General features: G+C 45.9%; 1 protein-coding gene across 1 annotated transcript in view, besides 1 other annotated feature; it reads right to left on the bottom strand.

The window, feature by feature from the left end:
* Positions 1-19,817, bottom strand: part of KCNG2 (potassium voltage-gated channel modifier subfamily G member 2) — a 102,163-nt gene that overhangs the window by 45,554 nt on the left and 36,792 nt on the right. The window lies entirely within an intron of this gene.
* Positions 12,421-12,921: an enhancer, noted in NCBI's record as "H3K4me1 hESC enhancer chr18:77601626-77602126 (GRCh37/hg19 assembly coordinates)". NCBI's record gives its function as "activates a minimal SCP1, AML or CMV promoter by ChIP-STARR-seq in naive H9 embryonic stem cells {active_cell/tissue: H9 hESC(naive)}" and the evidence as "EXISTENCE:reporter gene assay evidence [ECO:0000049][PMID:30033119]".

Genomic DNA, 19,817 nt, shown 5'->3' with positions numbered 1-19,817 from the left:
TCAAAAAAAAAAAAAAGCCAATGAAAGGCAATGTATAAAGACTTGGATTTTACCAGCCTTACGGAAGGCAGGAGGTCTATCATTAAAGGCTCTTTGAGGATGAGGAATCGTGCACCCCTGGGCCCTCCACGGGGACCTCTGTAACATTTACTTTTAAAATAAACGTAACCAGGGGAAATTGATGCCGAGCTTGGGGAATGGGAAAGCTCTTGTGTTTCTGCATGTGAGTGTTGTGACGGCGTCCAGGCAGGACACGGCACCCAGGCACACACGGCCACTGCTGCCCTCACACAGGGGCTGGGGGCTCTGGTGAACGGGGCTGGGACAGTGAGGCTCTGCCGGGCAGTGATGGAAGCAGAAGGCCGGGCTCTGCTCCTCCTGTGGACAGGCAGCCCCCTGCCTTCCCTCCGCGGCCAGTCCTGGATGCCTGAGCCCACGACCAGGAAACAGTTGTAGGTGCAGCCAGTGCTCCCCAGGGGCCGCCTGCAGAACGGGGTTGGAACCAGGCAGGGCTACCCTGGACATCGGCCTGCTCATTCCTCCCATGCGTGGTGGATTCCACTGGAAACTGGTCTGTGCTGTTTCACAGGCTGGACCCCGAGGTTGGAAACCAGAGGGGGAAGCCCCCTGAGCCAGCTCCCCACTTGGCCCTGAGGCCCACAGGGTCGAGGCACCTGCCACTCAAGTAGTGCCCGCCCTGGGGTGGCGCCCGTCTCGGGCCCTGGAGGGAGCCACATCTGTCCCCGGCGCGGGGCCATCCCCCCAGCACAGATGTTGAGGCTTTGGGCCTGGCCTCTAGTCCCACTCAGGCCTTCCGCCAGAGTCCTTGGGGGTCACCCACAGCTACGTGCTGCTGACACCGGCTGCCTGGCATCTGGAAGCTCCTGACTCGCTGCAGCCTCTGCTCTGAGCTTCCTGTCCGCTGCACCCACAGCCCTAGCAGGTTCCCGCCTCCTCCTCTTGCCCTCTGTTCCCAGCTCAGCGATCAGAGGGGCCTCCTAACACTGCACACCACCCTCTGCTCAAAACGCCAGAGCTCACAGCCCTAACTAGGCTGGTCTGTCCTGCCTCTCCTTGCTCCCCTCGGCACCCAGGCGAGTCCCGCCTCAGGCCTCAGCACAGCCATTCCTCTGCCTGAACAGCTGCTCAGTGACGCCTACGGTGACCCCTCACCCCATGGTGACCCCTCACGCTCGGCGTTTGCTCAAACCTGACCTCTCGTCAGACTCACCTGCACCACTTGGTTCACGCTGAAGCCCAGGCCCACCTCACTTTGCTGCGTTCTTTCTTTTCTCCCCTAAAGCACTAAATGATTAGTGCATTATTTTTACCCAGTGTTATTTTCTGTCCACTCCCGCTAGGATGTAAACGTCTCGAGGACATGCCCACTGTCCGCTTTGCCCACCCTCGTATTCCTGGGAACACTTCAGGGCACACACAAGTGACCAGGACGCACTGCCGCAGGGACAGACAAGGGAAGGAATGGTCTCAGGCTGCCTGGGATGCTCTCGGCGTCCAGCACACACGGGGCATCCACGCGGTGCCGTGTCCAGCCCAGGGCCTGCCCCACGGTGGGAGTGGGTGGAACTGGTCTGCACTGACACAGGTACCCCCAAAGAAATGACAAAGACTCTGCTAAGGTAGGAGGCTGCATCCCCACACGGACATTGCTTTGTACCAGAAAGAACCCTGAACTGGGCAGGAGGCCCGTCCTCACAGGGACACTGGTTTGTACCAGAAAGAACCCTGAACCGGGCAGGAGGCCTGGACTTTAATTACGGCTCCGCCCCTGATTGGCCGGGAAGCTGGAGAAGCCACTTCATTCCCCGTCGGTGGCTTCAAAGTCCAGCTCATCTCCAGAGGGTGGCCCACGCCCAGGTGCAGGCGCTGGTGAGCCGCCATCCGCATGGACAACGGTGATCTTCGAGGAATGCGATCGTCACTGTCAGGGCGAAGCCCAAGTGGTCCCAGGCACCTCAAAGGAGGCTGGAACTGGGCTCCCAGTGGCCCCTGTACTGAGATGCTCTCTGCGAGTGCAGGGGCTGAGAGCTAAGGGAACGCTTCCCCCGCTTCCTTAATTAAAGTCGAAATCGCTTATGCACAATTAAATAGATTCTGACCGTGCACGGGCTCTTTAGACATGCTTTGATATTACAGACATAAAGCAAAGATTAAGTTGAATACAAAATGTTCCTCATGGGGTTGAACTGTTCAGAGCAGGCATCGTTTGCGCTGCTGGAGATAGATGGCGCGTTATTGGAAATAACGATGCCCACGCCACGTTTTCCCCGGGGCGGGCGCTTGGGAAATGGGAGCGCGCTTCCCCGAAACAAGGTCACTGGAGGCGGGGGACCCTGCTGGCGGTAGTGAAGTGTCACTCATGCACACACAGCGCTTGCCATCCCCCCAATTCCGGCCCCAACCCAAGTCCTCACAGGATGTCTAACGAGCAGAGCCTCATTGCAGCGTTAACAATTAGAGCTAGTGCAGACGGACCCAGGTGAGTGCCGCGGTCCGCAAGGGCCAAACAGCCCTGAAAAACCGACTTAATTTTGCTAAGCCTCACATTCTGCATCTATAAAACGAAAATAAATCCTAATAGAATAGCACCTACCTTACAAGGCTGTTGTGAGGACTGACAGCCAATGCAGATGCCTAGAATAGTCCTGGTGCATAAGTCCTCACACGCACACGTGCACACACACTCATATTCACACACACCCATTCACATGCACATTCACACACATTCACACAATGCACATTCACACACGCATTCACAGTCACACACACACATACATTCACACAGGCATACACATTCACACACATGCACGTTCACACACACATACATTCACACAGGCATACACATTCACACACATTGACACATTCACACACATTCACTCACACTTGCACACCGCACATACACACACACTCTCACACACCCGCACATGCACACACACAGCGTAGCTTGAAAAGGCTATCAGGTCACTTCCTTGAGATCAAGGGTAGTATCTGCAGTGTCTGCTCTTACTGGTTTAATATCATGTGCATCCTCTGAGTGTCGGAGGCGCTCCAGCCGGAGCTACTCCATCTTGACTGAGGGCTGGAAAGTGAGGCTGGGACTTGCTGGGCTGACTCCCAGGAAGTTGGGTATTCCTAGACTCTAGATGCTTATGGCTACGGGAACAGATTGATAACGTTTACTAAACAGACCCAGACTTAGGAGTGTCCTGATATCCCGATATCTTGAGAACAGAAGCATTCCCAATTTTGCTTTAAAGATAATATTGATTCTTGCAAAATATACTAATAAAGAAAATCAATCCTTTATCACAAACCCTTGTAGCAGAGCACATCTCCCTATGATCTTTTTTTTTGTCTTGTATATAAACAAGCATTGTACGTGTTCCTCCTCTTACTCTCGGGAACGTCCTGCTCTGTCTATGCAGCAGCTGCCGATTCACCTTTACTTTCTTAATAAACTTGCTTTTGCTGCACACGGCAGACATGTCCTGAATTCTTTCTTGCACAAGGTCCAAGAACCCTCTCTGGGGGTCTGGATTGGGACCCCTTTCTGGTAACACGAAGACTCCACGGATGTTCGGCATGAGAGCTGGAACCGCAGGCCCCGTCCACTCTGTGCGGCCACCTGGTCTTGAACCACCTGGTCCGGCGCCTGCCCTCGTGGGTACAAAAGCAACGTGCGTTTGAGTTCTTACTGGGCCATGATCTCTCTTAGTTTTATACAAAGAAACTCACAGAAAAGGATTTACACTATGAAGCCTGTACGCTTAGTAACTTTAAGAAGAAACTCATCATAGCTAAAAAATTTCAGATTGTCTTACTGTGAAAACCCAAAGAAAGGCAGAGAGGCCAAAACGCATTCTCAAAACGACGAGCAGGAAAGGAAACAATAACAGAATCGAGGGGAAAGAAGAGAAGGCTCAAATTTAAAGATGAAGATCAGAAAAGAAAATAACATCAGATCTGGTAGAGAAGAGAACGTCATGAGAAAACACTCTGGATGGCTTCATGCCAATAAAGACAATAAAACATGGACTAGAATTGACTTCAGAAATAGGAACTCTGAATAAAACATGGACTACTAGAATTGACTTAAGAAATAGGAACTCTGAATAAATACAAAATTGCTAAAGAACTGAAAGAGTAATTACAAATCTCTTTACAAATCAAACTCAAATGACTTTATCAAGAGTTCTACCAGATATTCAAGGAACAGAATAATCCCAATTTTATACAAACTTTAATCACCTCTGCATGGAGAGGGAGGAAGATGTGATTAGAGAGAGGGAGGGGCTTCGGCTGTATGAGTAAAGTTGATATTTATTTATATATCCATGTATCCATGCATGTGATTAGACAGAGGGAGGGGCTTCGGCTGTCTGGGTGAAGTTTATGTTTATTCCATTTATCCACGTATGTGTGCACGTGTGTGCTGGGTACATGGATGAGGGTAGCGGGGAGGCAGAAGGTCAGGAGAGCCAGGACCAGCGACCCCGGCGGGTTTTCACACGGCCCTGTCAGCCCTTTAGGTGCGCGGGACACTCCTCCTACGGCCAGGTGGGGTCTCCGTTCCCTCCCACTGAGCCTGGGTGGGGTCTCGGGTTCCTCCCACGGCCAGGTGGGGTCTCGCCTCCCTCCCACTCAGCCTGGGTGGAGTCTCGGGTTCCTCCCACTAAACCACAGCGGACCTCTCACTGTGTGATTACGTGGGGGGCTCTCAGAGAGGCTGGGTCTTCCACGCGCTCCTGCTCCCACGCCACCCAGGGCGGCCGGCAGCCAGCATCAGCCCCCAGCCACGCAAGAACAAGGCTTCCGGTGGCCCCAGCCTCCGCTCTGCCTCCAGCCGAGGCCCAGACTTCACGCAGCAGAGAAAGGCAAGCGTCCGCGCTGGGCCCTCAGAAACCACGACAGCTAAGAAACAACGGTTGTCTTTACCGCCGCGCTTGGTGTAACCCGCGGCCAGGACAGGAGGCTCCTAGGCTGACGCAGAGCAAGGCGGGGAGGGAAGGCAGGTGCGGCCTGTCCAGATGCGGCTCCTGCACGCGGACGACCTTGCCCCGGATGAGGTCGGACGCACCTGCCCCAGCACAGGGCAGAGGATGGGGTCAGATGGGGGTGCAGGGCCCCACCTTCTGAGCCAAGAGGGGCGCCTGTGCCCCCCAGAAGCTCAGCGCTGGGAGGGCGGGTTGTGTGTGATTTGTTTTCTGCTGCCCGGGACGTCGCCTGCGCCTAGTCAGAGCTCAGTGAGAACATTAGAATTCCGAATAAAGGAATTAGGGGCTAAGGACGGGACCACGCTCGGAGGCCCCTCTGGGGAGGCTGTGGAGGTTGAGGGGTCCAGGCTGCGAGGTCTGGGCTCCCTCTAAGGGAGGCTGACTGAAGACAGGGTGGGGCTGGCAGAGGGGCTCGATGTGGAGGCGGGGCCTGGCGTGCAGAGCGGCCGAGTGGCCTGCGTGGGAGGGAGAACGCGGGCCCAGGCCTCTCCTGTGTCCGCACGGGTCCCGTGTCCAGGAAGCACTCATTATCCACGGCTCTTTTACTTTGTTGATTCAACAAACACAGAGAAATTCACAGGCGCCAGGCGGTCATTAACCCCTAACAGCCTATGCCGTGGGTACCAGGGCCCCATGCGGACCGAGGCACAGAGGGCTGAGGCCACCTGCCCGGGGCCACTCCTCAGGGAGGAGGCTCTTCCAGCCGGGCAGTCTGGCTTCACCGGGAATGCCGCGGCCTCTGGGGAACGGAAGCTCCCGGGGGCAGGCATGGCGACAGGATGCTTCTTCAGCGAAATACACAGAACCGTCCAGCTGTGCCCCAGCCCGTGGGCCACCGTCCCCACCTCCTTCCCCCACGCGGCTGCTGCCCAAAGGCAGAGCTGTGGGTTCCACTGCGTCCCCGGAAGTGTGTGCGAGTCTCAGCCCCGGGACCTGTGAGACGGACTTCATGGGGAAACAGGGTCTTTTCGCGTGTGGCTAAGACAAGGCCCCTAGGGTGGGCCTGAGTCCAGGGACGGATGTCCCCATAAGAGGGGAGAGGCCGACACTGAGGCCGTGGGATGCAGAGGCCGAGGTCACAGCCAAGGAGGGCTGACGATGGCCGGTGCTGCAGGAGCCCGAGCGGCAACGCAGGCCCCTCCCCAGCGGTTCAGAGACAGCACAGGCCTGCGGACCCCTACTCTGTACTTGGGACTCCCGGGGTTGAGAGAATACATTTCTGGTGTTTTAGGCTGCGCAGCTCTAAGCAACGAATGCAGCGGGTTAGGGTGAAATAATTATAACATTTCCTTCCAAGCAAAAGGCAAACCCTACTTAGAAGCATATGCGTCACCATTAGCCTCAGGGATCGAGGACAGATGAGGTTGGCGTTCATCACTGGCCCCTGGCAGCTGCTGAGCCCACGCTAGGGTTTCAGACATTCTGCCTTCACCGGGAGAAGCTCTGCAAGTTCGCTGTGCTCAGGGCCCCAGGTCAGGGTCCATGCACCGCACCCCATCCCTCACTCCCTGTTTGCCCAGGATTCCCCCCTGCCAATCCACTCCTTCAGTCCCAAGGAAAACAGTGACTATTTTGTTTAAATCTGGCTAAATACACATACATAAATGAAATGGACTCTCAAGCAGTTTAAATTAAATTGTGGCTTAACTGGACCACAAGTTTAGTGCCTCGGGCATTGTGTCACCACCATCCCTGATCATGAGCCCGGCCCAGGGGACACGTGGCCCCACTGCCGCCAGCAAGCCAGGTGCCAGCCTCCAGGATGCCAGAGCAAGTGCGGTTCTACATGCAACATGAGTGTGTGTCACCGGGAAAAGCTGCAACTGCCACTACCCAGAGTATCAGGATTTTTCAAATGTAATCAATAAGGAGAAGTCACTGGGATATAATAATATTTACCATTCTGAGTTAAAATTAGAATCTCTGTACATGCTTATTACATACATGGATGAGGGCTCATGGGGCGGGTGCTTTGCAGTTAGTGGGGCTGTTAATCTACATGAGCAAGACCCACCAAGGCTTCCACAGGGAGCGTGGTCCGCACTGCCGGGTAAAGATCGCTTAGCGTGGTTTCCAGACCAGGGCTTCTCGACTGGGATCCACTGCGACCCTCAGTTCCCACGGGGCACCTGGCAATGTCCAGGTTTTGATTGTCTTGACTGGGGATGCTCCTGGCATGGAGGCATGGAGGCCAGGGATACTGTTCAACACCCACAGTGCCCAGGATGGCTCCCAGCAAAGCTATCCGACCCCAAACGTCCACAGTTCCAGACGGAGAAGCCCCACATCCCAAGGCACCTGGGGGACCTTGTACGAGGCCAGGAGGGCTGACATCCGAGGAGGAGCAAAGCAAGGAGGAAGCTCAGAGGATTTTTCACTGAAGCTCAGAAGCCAACTGTTCAGGACTTAAAGCATTTGTCATGCAGTAGATGTTGCCAGATAATCCAGCCATTGCAGATAAATGCTTTCATCAGCCGCTGCCTGCCTCTGTTCTGGCATCTTCACAAATTTGGTTCAGGTGTCACTTACCTTCCCCATGTCTTCTTACCACCGGCTGCCCTGTGGCCAAACGAGTTCGTTTGCAGGAAATGAGACCCTTGCGACCTACACACACCTTTCAGGAAGACTATTCTAGGCTCCTCAGTGGGGCCTTCATCCAGATGCACACTTTGCCTTTCAGCTGGAACTGTTAACCTCGGCGGTGACACGGGTTCACAAACAGGGCCATGCGACAACTGGAAAAACCATCTAAACAAGATGACTTCTTCAACCAATCAGTGAGCATACGACTGCAGCTGAGAACTGTCTAAAATACAATGTATCTAACTTCAGTTCCAGGCTAATATTTAGTGTGCCAATGAATTTTTTATTTTTCAATTCTTACTTGTCCTATCAAGAAAAACATTAGATGAATTAAGACTATAATCACCCATGGGTTAAAAAAAGCCAAACATAAATAATTTTGAATAAAATATGACTCAGGAGATTTTTGTTGTAAACTAAAGATGAGTAATATTAGCATCATTCCTGTAATCTCTTTCTGATACACATATGAGTTCACATGTGAGTCTCAACTATTTTGATTTGAAATACTTTTATTTTCTTTCTTTTTTTTTTCTGAGACAGAGTCTCACTCTTTTTTTTTTTTTTTTTTTTTGAGACGGAGTCTCGCTCTGTTGCCCAGGCTGGACTGCAGTGGCACACGATCTCAGCTCACTGCAAGCTCCACCTCCCAAGTTCACGCCATTCTCCTGCCTCAGCCTCCCAAGTAGCTGGGACTACAGGCGCCCGCCACCACGCCTGGCCAATTTTTTGTATTTTTTAGTAGAGACAGGGTTTCACCATGTTCGCCAGGATGGTCTTGATCTCCTGACCTTGTGATCCACCTGCCTCGGCCTCCCAAAGTGCTGGGATTACAGGCGTGAGCCACCGCGCCCAGCCAAGACAGAGTCTCACTCTTTCGCCCAGGCTGGAGTGCAGTGGCGCCATCTCAGGTCACTGCAAGCTCCACCTCCTGGGTTCACGCCATTCTCCTGCCTCAGCCTCCCGAGTAGCTGGGACTACAGGGGCCCGCCACTACGCCTGGCTAATTTTTTCTTTGTATTTTTTAGTAGAGACGGGGTTTCACTGTATTAGCCAGGATGATCTCAATCTCCTGACCTCATGATCCGCCTGCCTCGGCCTCCCAAAGTGCTGGGATTACAGGCGTGAGCCACTGCGCCCAGCCACTTTTATTTTCTATATGCCAAAGTTCCATAAATTATAAAGGGGTTTTATTTTTCATAAATACACACGTGTATAAAATGAAGTATATAAGATCTAATTAGCAAGGTTTTGGTTCTGTTCAGAAGAGAACTTGCTAATGAGATCCATTTTTAGCCATGTTTTTGACTGAGAAATTGACAATTATTTTTCAATTATGATTTATGGGACACAATCTCCAAGTCTATAATACACATAGAAATTTGGTAATTAATAACTCTTATCCACAAAGCAGGGTATGTACAGTACAGCTGCATATAATTGCTCCAAAAAGTTTCAAAATCAAATTTTGAGGTAATTGCAGATTCACATGCAGTTGTAAGAGAAAATACACGGGCACCCTTGCACCCTTTACTCAGTTTTCCCCGTGGTAGCCTCCCCAAAACCGTGGAACGCCTTCTCCACCGGGACGCCGACATGGACACATCCAGACACAGAGCTCTCCTCACACAAGGGTCCCTCCTGCGGATTCACAGCCACACCCCCTGCCTTCCCAGCCACCTCCTCCTGAACCCCTGGAAACTGTTCATCTGTTCTTCATCGTCATAATATTGTCATTTCAAGAATGTTATGAATGTTGAACCACACCCTACGTAACCTTTTAGGATTGGCTTTTTCCATTCAGAATAATTCCCTGGAGATTCATCTGGGTTGCTGAATACATCAGGAGTTCATCCCTTTTTACTGCAGAGTAGTATTCCATGGGATGGATGCACCAGAGTTTGTTTAACCACAAGTGGGAGAACATTTTGGTTATTTCCAGGATTTGGCTATTATGAACACAGTGGTATAAGCATTTCCACACAGTTTGCTTTTCCTCTCTGGGGTAAATGCTCATCAGAGCAACAGGTTTTACTTTTGATAAAATTCAATTTATCCTTTTCCCCCTTACTGACTGGCTAGTTGCATATTTAGTTTTTAAAGCAACTGCCAAATTCTTTCTGGAGTGGTTGTACTACTTGACATTCCCACCAGCAATGTATGAGAGAAACAGTTTCTCAGCATCCTTGCCAGCACTTGATATCACCGTTTTTAATTTTAGGCATTCTCATAGCTGTGTGGTGACATCTTATTGTATTCATTTGTCCCACTTTATTGATGTCTAATTAAAAGTGCACACTGTAGTGTTTTGATATATGAATGCATTGTGCAATGATTACCACAATCAAGCTAATGAATATATCCATCACTTTGCACAGTTACCATTTTGTGTGTGGTGAGAACATTTAAGATCTACTGTCTTAGAAAAATTCAAGTATGCACTATAGTATTATTAGCTATAGTCACCATGCTGCATGTTAGATCTCTGGAAGTGATTAATCTTGTATAACTAAAACTTTGTACCCTTTGATCAACATCACTTCCTCCACCCCCAATCCCCTGGCAACCACCATTCTCTCTGCTTGTGAGTTCAACTTTCTTAGATTCCACATACGAGTGAGATCACACATTACTGTTTTTCTATACCCAGCTTATTTCACTTAGCATAACATCCTCCAGGTTCATTACACATTTCTCAAGGCTGAATGATGTTTTGTTGTGTGTGTGTCTCTGTGTGTATATGTCAATAACATGTTCTTCAGCCACTCATCCATGAATGGGCACTTAGGTGGATTTCATATCTTGGCTATTGTGAATGATGCTACAATGATCATGAGAGTGCAGATATATTTTGTCTGATATAAGTATAAACACCCCTGCTCTCTTTTGGTTACCATTTGCATGGAATATCTTTTTCTGTCTCTTTCACTTTCAGCCTATGTATATCCTTAAAGCTAAACCAAGTCTCTTGTAGGCAGCACAGGGTTGGATTTTATTTTAAAATCCATTCAGTGATTCTATGTCTTTTGATTGGAGAATTTCATCCATTTAAATTTAAAGTAATTATTGATAGGTTAGAAATTACTACCACCATTTTGTTAATTGTTCTCAACTGTTTTGTAGTTCCTTTGATTGTTTCTTCCTCTTTTGCTGTCTTCTTTGTGATGCGATAATTTTTTCATAGCGTATGCTTTGATTCCTTTCTCTTTCTCTTTTGTGTATCTATTACAATTTTTTTCTTTTTAGTTACCATGAGGCATACATAAAATATCTTTTAGTTGTAACAGTTTATTTAAGCTGATAACAACTTAACTTCAACTGTAAACAAAAACTATACTTTTTCTTCTCACACATTTTATGTTACTGATGTCACAATTTACATTATATATTATGTATCCATTAACAAATTACTGTAGCTATACTTATTTTTAATACTTTTGTCTTTCTACTTTTATGCTGGGGTTACAGGTGACTTATGACTCACCATTACAGTATTAGAACATTCTGAATTTGACTATATTCTTACCTTTACAGTAAGTTTTATCCTTTAATATTTTTTCATGCTATTAGTGAGCTTTCATTTCAATTTGAAGAACATTCAGCATTTCTGGTAAGGCAGATTTAGTGGTGATAAACTCCCTAAGCTTTTGTTTGTCCGGGAAAATAATTATCACTCCTTAATTTCTGGAGGACAGCTTTGCCGAGTATAATATTCTTGGTTGACTTTTTTTTTCCAGCACTTTGAATATATCATCCCACTCTCTCCTGGCCTGCAAGGTTTCTGTTGAGAAATATGCCAATATTCTTATGGGGAAGTTCCCTTATATGTGATAAATGGATTTCTTTGCTGCTTTCAAGATTCTCATTGTCCTTGACTTTTGAGAATTTTATTATAATGTGTCTTGGTAAATATCTCTTTATGTTTAATCTATTTGGGGTTCTTTGGGCTTCATGGATCTGGATGTTTATTTCCCTCTCTAAATTTGGGAAGTTTTCCATCACTGTTTCTTTAAATAAGCTTTCTTCCCCTTTTTCATTCTCCACTCCTTCTGGAACACCTATAATGCATATATTGATTTGCTTGCTGGCAGTCCATAAGTCTCTAGGATTTCTTCACACTTTTCTTGCTCTTCTGATTGAATAACTACAAATGTCCTATCTTTGAGATTGCTGATTCTTTCTTCTGCTTAATTGAGTCTACTGTTGAAATCTCTATGGATTTTTCAATTCAATCATGCGTGCTTTATCTCCAGAATTTCTGTTTGGGTCTTTTTTATGCTTTCTATCTCTTTGTTGTTGAACTTCTAATTTTGCTCATGTATTATTTTCTTGATTTTTGTTTAGTTGTCTATTGGTGTTCTCTTGTAGCTCACTGAGCTTCTTTAAGATTATTATTTTGAATTCTTTGTCAGGCTGTTTGTAGATCTCCATTTCTTTAGGTTTCATTATTGGTGCTTTATTTTGTGTATTTGGTGATGTCATGTTCCCTGATTATTCATGATCCTTGTGCCCTTGCATTGGTATCTGAGTATTTAAAGAAGCAAGCACCTCTTCCAGTCTTTATAAACTGGCTTTGGCAAGGAGAGCCCTTTATCAGTCAGCCCACCCAGAGATTATCTGGGCAAGGGTGCTTCCATATGAAGGCCTGCTGCTGGAGTCCTCAGGCAGGTTAGCTTGCTGCCTGGGTTTACAAGGGCCAGCTTGGGGCCTGGGTCCATGGGACAGGCCTGGAGTTTGGGTCTGCATGAGTAGGCGGTATCTGGGTCTGCAAGGGCCAACCTGGTACCTGGGCTGCAGAGGCCACCCTTGTGCTGGGGTAGGCCTGGAGCATGTGGCTGCGAGGACTTGCCTGGAGCTAGGGTGGGCCTGGAGGCTAGGCCTGTAGCTGCAGTCCTGGCACCTGGGTCTGCAGGGGCCAGCCTGGCATCAAGGTTCACTCTGGGGAGGGGGAGGGACCTAGTATTGGGGTCCACAGTGAAGTTGAGTGCTCGCTTCGTTCTCCTTCCATGTGGAGAGTATCTCCATATTGTGCTATGTGGACTTGGGGGAAGAGTGGTATGAGTTAATGTGAAACTCTCCTTCCTTTTTCAATGAGTCTTTCCTTATTCCTGTGCTCCATTCAGGTGCTAATCTCTCACCTGGATTCCTTAGTTCTTGTGAAGGTATTTTTGTGTGTGGATGGTTGTTCAAACTGTTTCTCTAAGAGTATGAAAACTGGAAACTCCTATTTTGCTATCTTGATGACATCACTCCTCACTGTCTTTTAATTTGCATGTTCTTAATAGCTAGTGACACTGAAGACCTTTTAATGCACTTCTTTGTCATCTATTCTCTTTGGTGAAATATCTTTTCATGTGTTTTGCTCATTTTCTATTTGGATTGTTATTTTGCTGTTGAGTTTTGAGAGTTTTTAAACGCATTTTAATACTAGTACTTAGTTGGGTATATAGTTTGCAAATATTTTCTCAAAGTCTACAGCTTATCTTTAAAACCTTCACACAAGGTCTTTTGCAGAGCAAAATATTTGAATTTTGATAAAGTCCAATTTATCCTTTTTTTCTTTTATTGGCTGTGCTTTTGGTGTGAAGAATGATTTGCTTAGCCCAACATCTCGAAGGTTTTCTTCTGTTATTATTTATTTATTTATTTATTATGAGATAGGGTCTTGCTCTGTCACCCAGGCAACACCAGTGCAATGGTGTGATCATGGCTTGCTGCAGCCTCTATACAGCTCATTGCAACCTTGATCTCCCAGGCTCAAGCAATCTTCCCACCTCAGTCTACTGAGTAGCTGGGACTACAGGTGTGCACCACCATGCCTGGCTGACTTTTTTTTCTTTTCATAGAGACAAGGCCTCACTATGTTGCTCAGGCTAGTCTCGAACTCCTGAGCTCAAGTAATCCTACCCGCCTCAACCTCCAGAAGTGCTGGAATTACTGGCATCAGCCACCACAACCAGGCTTCTCTTGTTATTTTTGTAATGTTTATAGTTTTATTGTAAGTCATGATCCATTTTGAGTTAATTTTTGTATAAGGTGTGGGATTAGGTCAAGATTCATTTTTTTTTGGCTTATGGATGTCTTATTGTTTGTTGAAAAGGTTATATTTACTTTACTGAATCACTTTTGAACCTCTGTCAAAGTTAATCAGGAATTTTTTTGTGGATCTATTTCTGGGTTCTCTGTTCTATTCCACTGATCTATGTACATATCCCTCCACCAATACCACAAAGTGTCAATTATTATAGCTATATAACATGCCTTGAAATCAGGTGGATGGATTTTCCCCACTTTATTCTTCTTTTCCAAATAATTTTACCTATTCTAGTTCCCTTGACTTTCTATATAAATTTTAGATAATCTCATCTATATATTTTTTAAATCACTGGGATTTTAACCTCAAATTTTTATATCAATTTGGGGAGAACTGACATTTTTAATAAGCTAATTCCATAAATGAACATGATACATCTCTCCATTTATTTAGATTATTTCTTTTATTTGCCTTTTGTAGTCTTCAGCATTAAAGTTCTATATGTGTATTGCTAGACTCATACCTAAGTATTTCATTTTGTTGAACAATTGTAAAGGGTATTATATTCTATGTTTAATTTTGATATCCATGTGTCTTGCTAGTGTATTGATTTTGTATGTTTATCTTATGTCTTGCAATCTTGCTGAATTCATTTATTAGTTCTAAGAGTTTTTTTTGGCTTTTTGTAGATTTCTTGGGATTTTCTGTGTATACAATCATGTAATTTGCAAATGGGGCAGTCTTATTTCTTCCTTTATAACTTATATACATTTTATTTCATTTTATTACCCACTGCAGTGACCAGAGCTTTCAGTTATATGTTGAATAAGAGTGATGAAAGTGAGCATTTTTGCCTTGTTCTCCATCTGAGGGGAAGAACATTCAGTCTTTCACCATTAAGTGTATGTCAGCTAAGGTTTTTGTAGATACTCTTTATCAAGTCAAGAAACTTCCCCTTGATTCCTATATTCTGAGAATTTTTATCAAAAGAGGTGTTATTTAAAAAGTTTTTTGCATCAACTTATATGATTATGTGATTTTTCTTTAGCCTGTCAATATGGTGCTTACACTGATTGAATTTAAATACTGAATCATCTTTGCATCCCTGGAATAAACTCTCCACTTGGCCATGGTGTATAATTCCTTTTACGTATTGCTGATTTCTATTTGCTAATATTTAATAAGGTTTTAGAAAATGTTCCCTCCTCTTCCATTTTTTGGAAAAGACAGTATAGATTGGTGTTAATTCTTCCTTAGATGTTTACTCAGAGGTTTAGTTGTTTAGATGTTCTCCAGTGAAATCATCTGGGCTTGGAGATTGCTTTTTCAGGAATTTTTAATTTACAAATTCAAGTTTATTAACAGTTATAGGACTATTCTCATGATCTATTTCACACTGGGTGAATTGTGGTAGTGTGTATTTTCCAAGGAATCGGTCCAGTAGATCTGGGCTGTCAAATGTGCATGTAGAGTTGTTGGCAGGGTTCCCTTCTCACACTTCTGATGTCTACAGGGTATGCAGTTATGTCCTCTATTTTGTTCCTGACGTTGGTAACGTGTGTCTTCTCTCTTCTTAATTTTGTTGGGCTTGCCAGGAATTATTTATTTATTTATGCATTTAGAGTCAGGGTCTTGCACTGTTGTCCAGGCTGGAGTGCAGTGGCATGATCATGGCTCACTGCAGCCTTGACCTGGGCTCAAGTGATCCTCTCCCTTCAGCCTCCCAAGTAGCTGGGATGACAGGCATGCGCCCACATATTCTGCTAATTTATTTTTAAATTTATATTTTTGTAGAGGTGGGGTCTTGTCCAGGCTGGTGTTGGATTCCTGACTCAAATGATCCTCCTGACTTGGCCTCTCAAAGTGCTGGGGTTACAGGTGTGAGCCACTGCATCTGGCCAAGTTTATTCTATTGATCCTTTCAAAGAGTCGGCTCTTTGTTTCACTGCTTTTCCCTATTGTTCTACTGGGCTAAGCGCCATTGACTTCTGCTCTTCATTATTTCATTCCTTCTACTTGCTTTGCTCTTCCTCTTCTAGGTACTGCAGGTGGGACCTGAGATTGTACATTGAGGTTTTTCCTTTTTTCTAATGTAATTTCCCTCTTGACACTGTATAGCTTGGTCTCACAAATTTTGATATGTTGTGTATATATTTTCATTCTGTTCAATGTATGTTTTGATTTCCCTTAAGACTTCCTCTTTGGGCCAGGTGAGGTGGCTCATGCCTGTAATCCCAACACTTTGAGAGGCTGAGGTGGGAGGATCACTTGAGCCCAGGAATTCAAGATCAGACTGGGCAACACAGGGAGACCCCATCTCTACAAAAAATTTAAAAATTAGCTGGGCATGGTGGTGCACACCTTTGGTCCCAGCTACTCAGGAGGCTGAGGTTGAAGGACTGCTGGAGCCCAGGAGGTCGAGGCTGCAATGAGCCATGATTGCATCACTGCAGTCAGCCTGGGCGACAGAGAGACATTGTCTCAGGAAAAAAAAAAAAAAAGACTTGTTTGGCCCAAGGATTATTTAGAAGTATGATTTAAATTTCCAGTGTTTGAAGATTATTCTATTATTGATTTCCAGTTTTATTCCATTATGCTCAGAGAACCACACTGAGAACACTTATATGATTTCAGTTCTTTTAAATTTGTTGAGATTTGTTTTATGGTATACTTTTGATATGGTTTGGCTCTGTGTCCCCACCTAAATCTCATCTTGATTTGTAATCACCACATGTCAAGGGAGGGACCTGGTGGGAGGTGACTGGATTATGGGCCAGTTCCCCCCTGCTGTTCTTGTGATAGCAAGTTCTCCTGAGATTTGATGGTTTAAAAGTGAGGCACTTTCCCTTCACTCACTCTCGCTTTCTCCTGCCACCATGTGAAGAAGGTCTTGCTTCTCCTTCACCTTCTGCCATGACTGTAAGTTTCCTGAGGCCTCCCCAGCCATGTGGAATTGTGGGTCAATTAAACCTTTTTTCTTCATAAATTACCCAGTCTCAGGTAGTTCTGTATAGGCGTGAAAATGGACTAATACAGAAAATTGGTACCTGGAGTGGGGCACTGCTACAAAGATACTTGAAAATGTGGACACAACTTTGGAACTGGGTAAAGGGCAGAGGTTGGAAGAGTTTGGAGGGCTCAGAAGAAGACAGGAAGATGTGGGGAAGTTTGGAACATCCTAGAGACTTGTCAAATGGTTTTGACCAAAATACTGATAGAGATATGGACAATGAAGTCCAGGCTAAGGTGGTCTCAGATGGAGATGAGGAACTTATTAAGAACTGCAGTAGGGTCATTCTTGCTATACTTTCACAAAGAGACTAGTGGCATTTTGCCCCTGCCGTAGAGATCTGTGGACCTTTGAACTTGAGATGATTTTTCTCTCATGGAGAACCTCTAGTAGAGTAAAGCAGAGGGGAAATGTGGGGTTGGAGCCCCACATAGAGTCCCCACTGGGGAACTGCCTAGTGGAGCTGTGAGAAGAGGGCCACTGTCCTCCAGACCCCAGAATGGTAGATCCTCCAACTGCTTGCACCATCTGCCTGGAAAAGCCACCATCACTCAGAGCCAGCAAGTGAAAGCAGCCATGGGGGCTGTGCCCTGCAAAGCCACAGGGGCAGAGCTGCCCAAGGCCATGGGAGCCCACTTCTTGCATCAGTGTGACCTGGATGTGAGACATGGAGTCAAAGGAGACCATCTCAGAGCCTTAAGATTTAATGGCTGACCTGCTGGGTTTTGGATTTGCATGGGACCTGTGGCCCCCTTTTTTGGCCAATTTCTCCCATTTGGAATGGGAGCATTTACCCGATGTCTGTTCCTCCACTTTATCTTGGAAGTATCTAACTTGCTTTTGATTTTACAGGTTCATAGGTGGGAGGGACTTGTCTTATTTCAGTTGAGACTTTGCACTTGGACTTTTGGGTTAATGCTGAAATGAGTTCAGACTGTGGGGGACTGTTTGGAAGCCATGATTGTGTTAAAATGTGAGGACATGAGATTTGGGAGGGGCCAGGGCTGAATTGATATGGTTAGGCTCTGTGTCTCTACTCAAATCTCAGCTTGAATTGTCATCCTCATGTGTTGAGGGAGGGATCTGGTGGGAGGTGATTGGATTACGGGGTTGGTTTCCCTCATGCTGTTCTCATGATAGTGAGTGAGTTCTTACAAGGACTCATGGTTTAAAAGTGTGGCACTTCCCCTTCACTCACTCTCTCTCTCCTGCAGCCATGTGAAGAAGGTCTTGCTTCTCCTTTACCTCTCGCCATGATTGTAAGTTTCCTGAGGCCTCCCCAGCCATGTGGAACTGTGAGTCAATTCAACCTTTTTTCTTCATAAATTACCCAGTCTCAGGTAGTTCTGTATAGCAGTGTGAAAATGGACTAACACAACTTTGGTATATGTTTCATGGTTACCTCAAGAAAAAGGAATATTCTCCTTTTGTTGAGTGAAGTATCCTTTAAATATCAAATAGATCTGTTGGATGATGATGTTATCTCCAACCACAACTGTGAATGTTTCTACTTTAAACTCTGTCATCCTTTGGTTCACATATTTTGCAGCTCTGTTGTTTGTGCATATACATTAGAATTGCTATGTCCTCTTAGATCCTTCATTTTTACATAACGTTTCTCCTCTGTCTCTGGTAACATTATTTACCTTGAAGTCTACCTTATCAAATACAAATATAGCCACAACAACGTTCTTTTGATTAATGTTTACACGATGTATCTTTTTGTCTCCTTTTATTTTCAACCTGCCTATATTGTTATATTTGAAGTGACTTTCTTGTGGACTGCTTATCATTGGGTCATGCTTTTAAACCCACTCTGCCAATGTCTCTTTTTAGTTGATTTTTGTTTTGTTTACACAATTTACACCTACTAAAATTATTTGTATGTTAGGACTTTAATCTTCCATTTTGTACTGTTTTCTGTTCTCTGTTCTTTATTTCTGTTTTCTTCTTCATGTTTCCCTGTGGATTACTTCACTATTTGACAATTCTATTTTGATTTATCTCTTGTGTTTTTTGTATCTGTTCTAGGTATTACATTATACACACACAACCTGTCATGGTCCACTGGTGTTATTTTACCAGTTCAAGTGAAGTGTAGAGCCATCACTTTCCTTTATATGTCCCACATCCCATCTGTAAATAATAGTCTTACACATCCCTCTACCTGCCTTAGAGCCACATCAGGAATTTTCACAATCTTTACTCCCACCATCGAGCAATTCAGAAAACTCACGTGGAGAAGGAAAGTCTATTGCATTTACTCACATTTTCCTCATCATGTTTCCCCTCTACCATTCTACCTTCCAGTTCACTGACTCTTTTATACGTCTACTCCGTCTACCACTGAACCTATCCATTGAGTTTCCCATTCCATTTATTGTATTTTTACATCTAAAATTCCCATTTGGTTTTATTTTATATCTTCTATTCCTTTGCTGAGACTATTTCTCATCTGTTTCAAGCATGTTTGTAATTGTCCACTGAAGTATTTTTACAACGGCTGTTTTAAAATCTGTGCCCAATAATTTCGACATTACTATCATCTTAGTGTTGGTGTCAATGGCCGTTGACTGTCCTTTTCACCAAATTCGAAATCTTTCTGGCTCTTGGTATGAGGGCTGATTTCCATGGAAACCTAGACATTTTGAGCCTCTCAGATGCTGGCTCTGCTGCGGTTGGCTTCCTTTGGCCCTGCTCTGGCAGGGGGGAGAGAGACAACACCTCTGCTGGCAGTGGGGACAGAAGTGCACATTCCCCAAGAGGCTTCTGTTGACATCCATGGTGAGGGAGGGCTCCTCATTACCAGTGGGTCGGGATGGGGGTTCCTACTCCCCACATCTCTCTACAGACACGTCCCTGGCTGGGAGGGGTGGGTGTGTCTTGTTACTGCTCCCCATATGGGTGGCCGACACCATGGGTGTGGGTGGCACAGACGGTTCTGTTAGACAGACTCAGTATAAACAAGAGGGAAATACTCCATTGGCCAGAGGACTGGATGTGAACACACCCAGCATGGCTCCTGAGTTTATTCGGTGATGTGCCTTCTCCACTGAAGGTGCACTCAGCCATCAGGAACCAGCTCCTCCTGCTCAAGAATGTTTCCTGTGGGAGAGTGGCTGACTCCTGACAAGGAAGTCTGTTGGGAGAAAAGCTGAGTGTTGGGAGAGAAGCT

The sequence above is a fragment of the Homo sapiens genome, chromosome 18 (assembly GCF_000001405.40).
Source record: "Homo sapiens chromosome 18, GRCh38.p14 Primary Assembly".
In the NCBI taxonomy this organism is placed as follows: Eukaryota; Metazoa; Chordata; class Mammalia; order Primates; family Hominidae; genus Homo; species Homo sapiens.
Note: the sequence above shows the minus strand (reverse complement) of the source record. Positions and strands in the feature narration are given on the sequence as shown.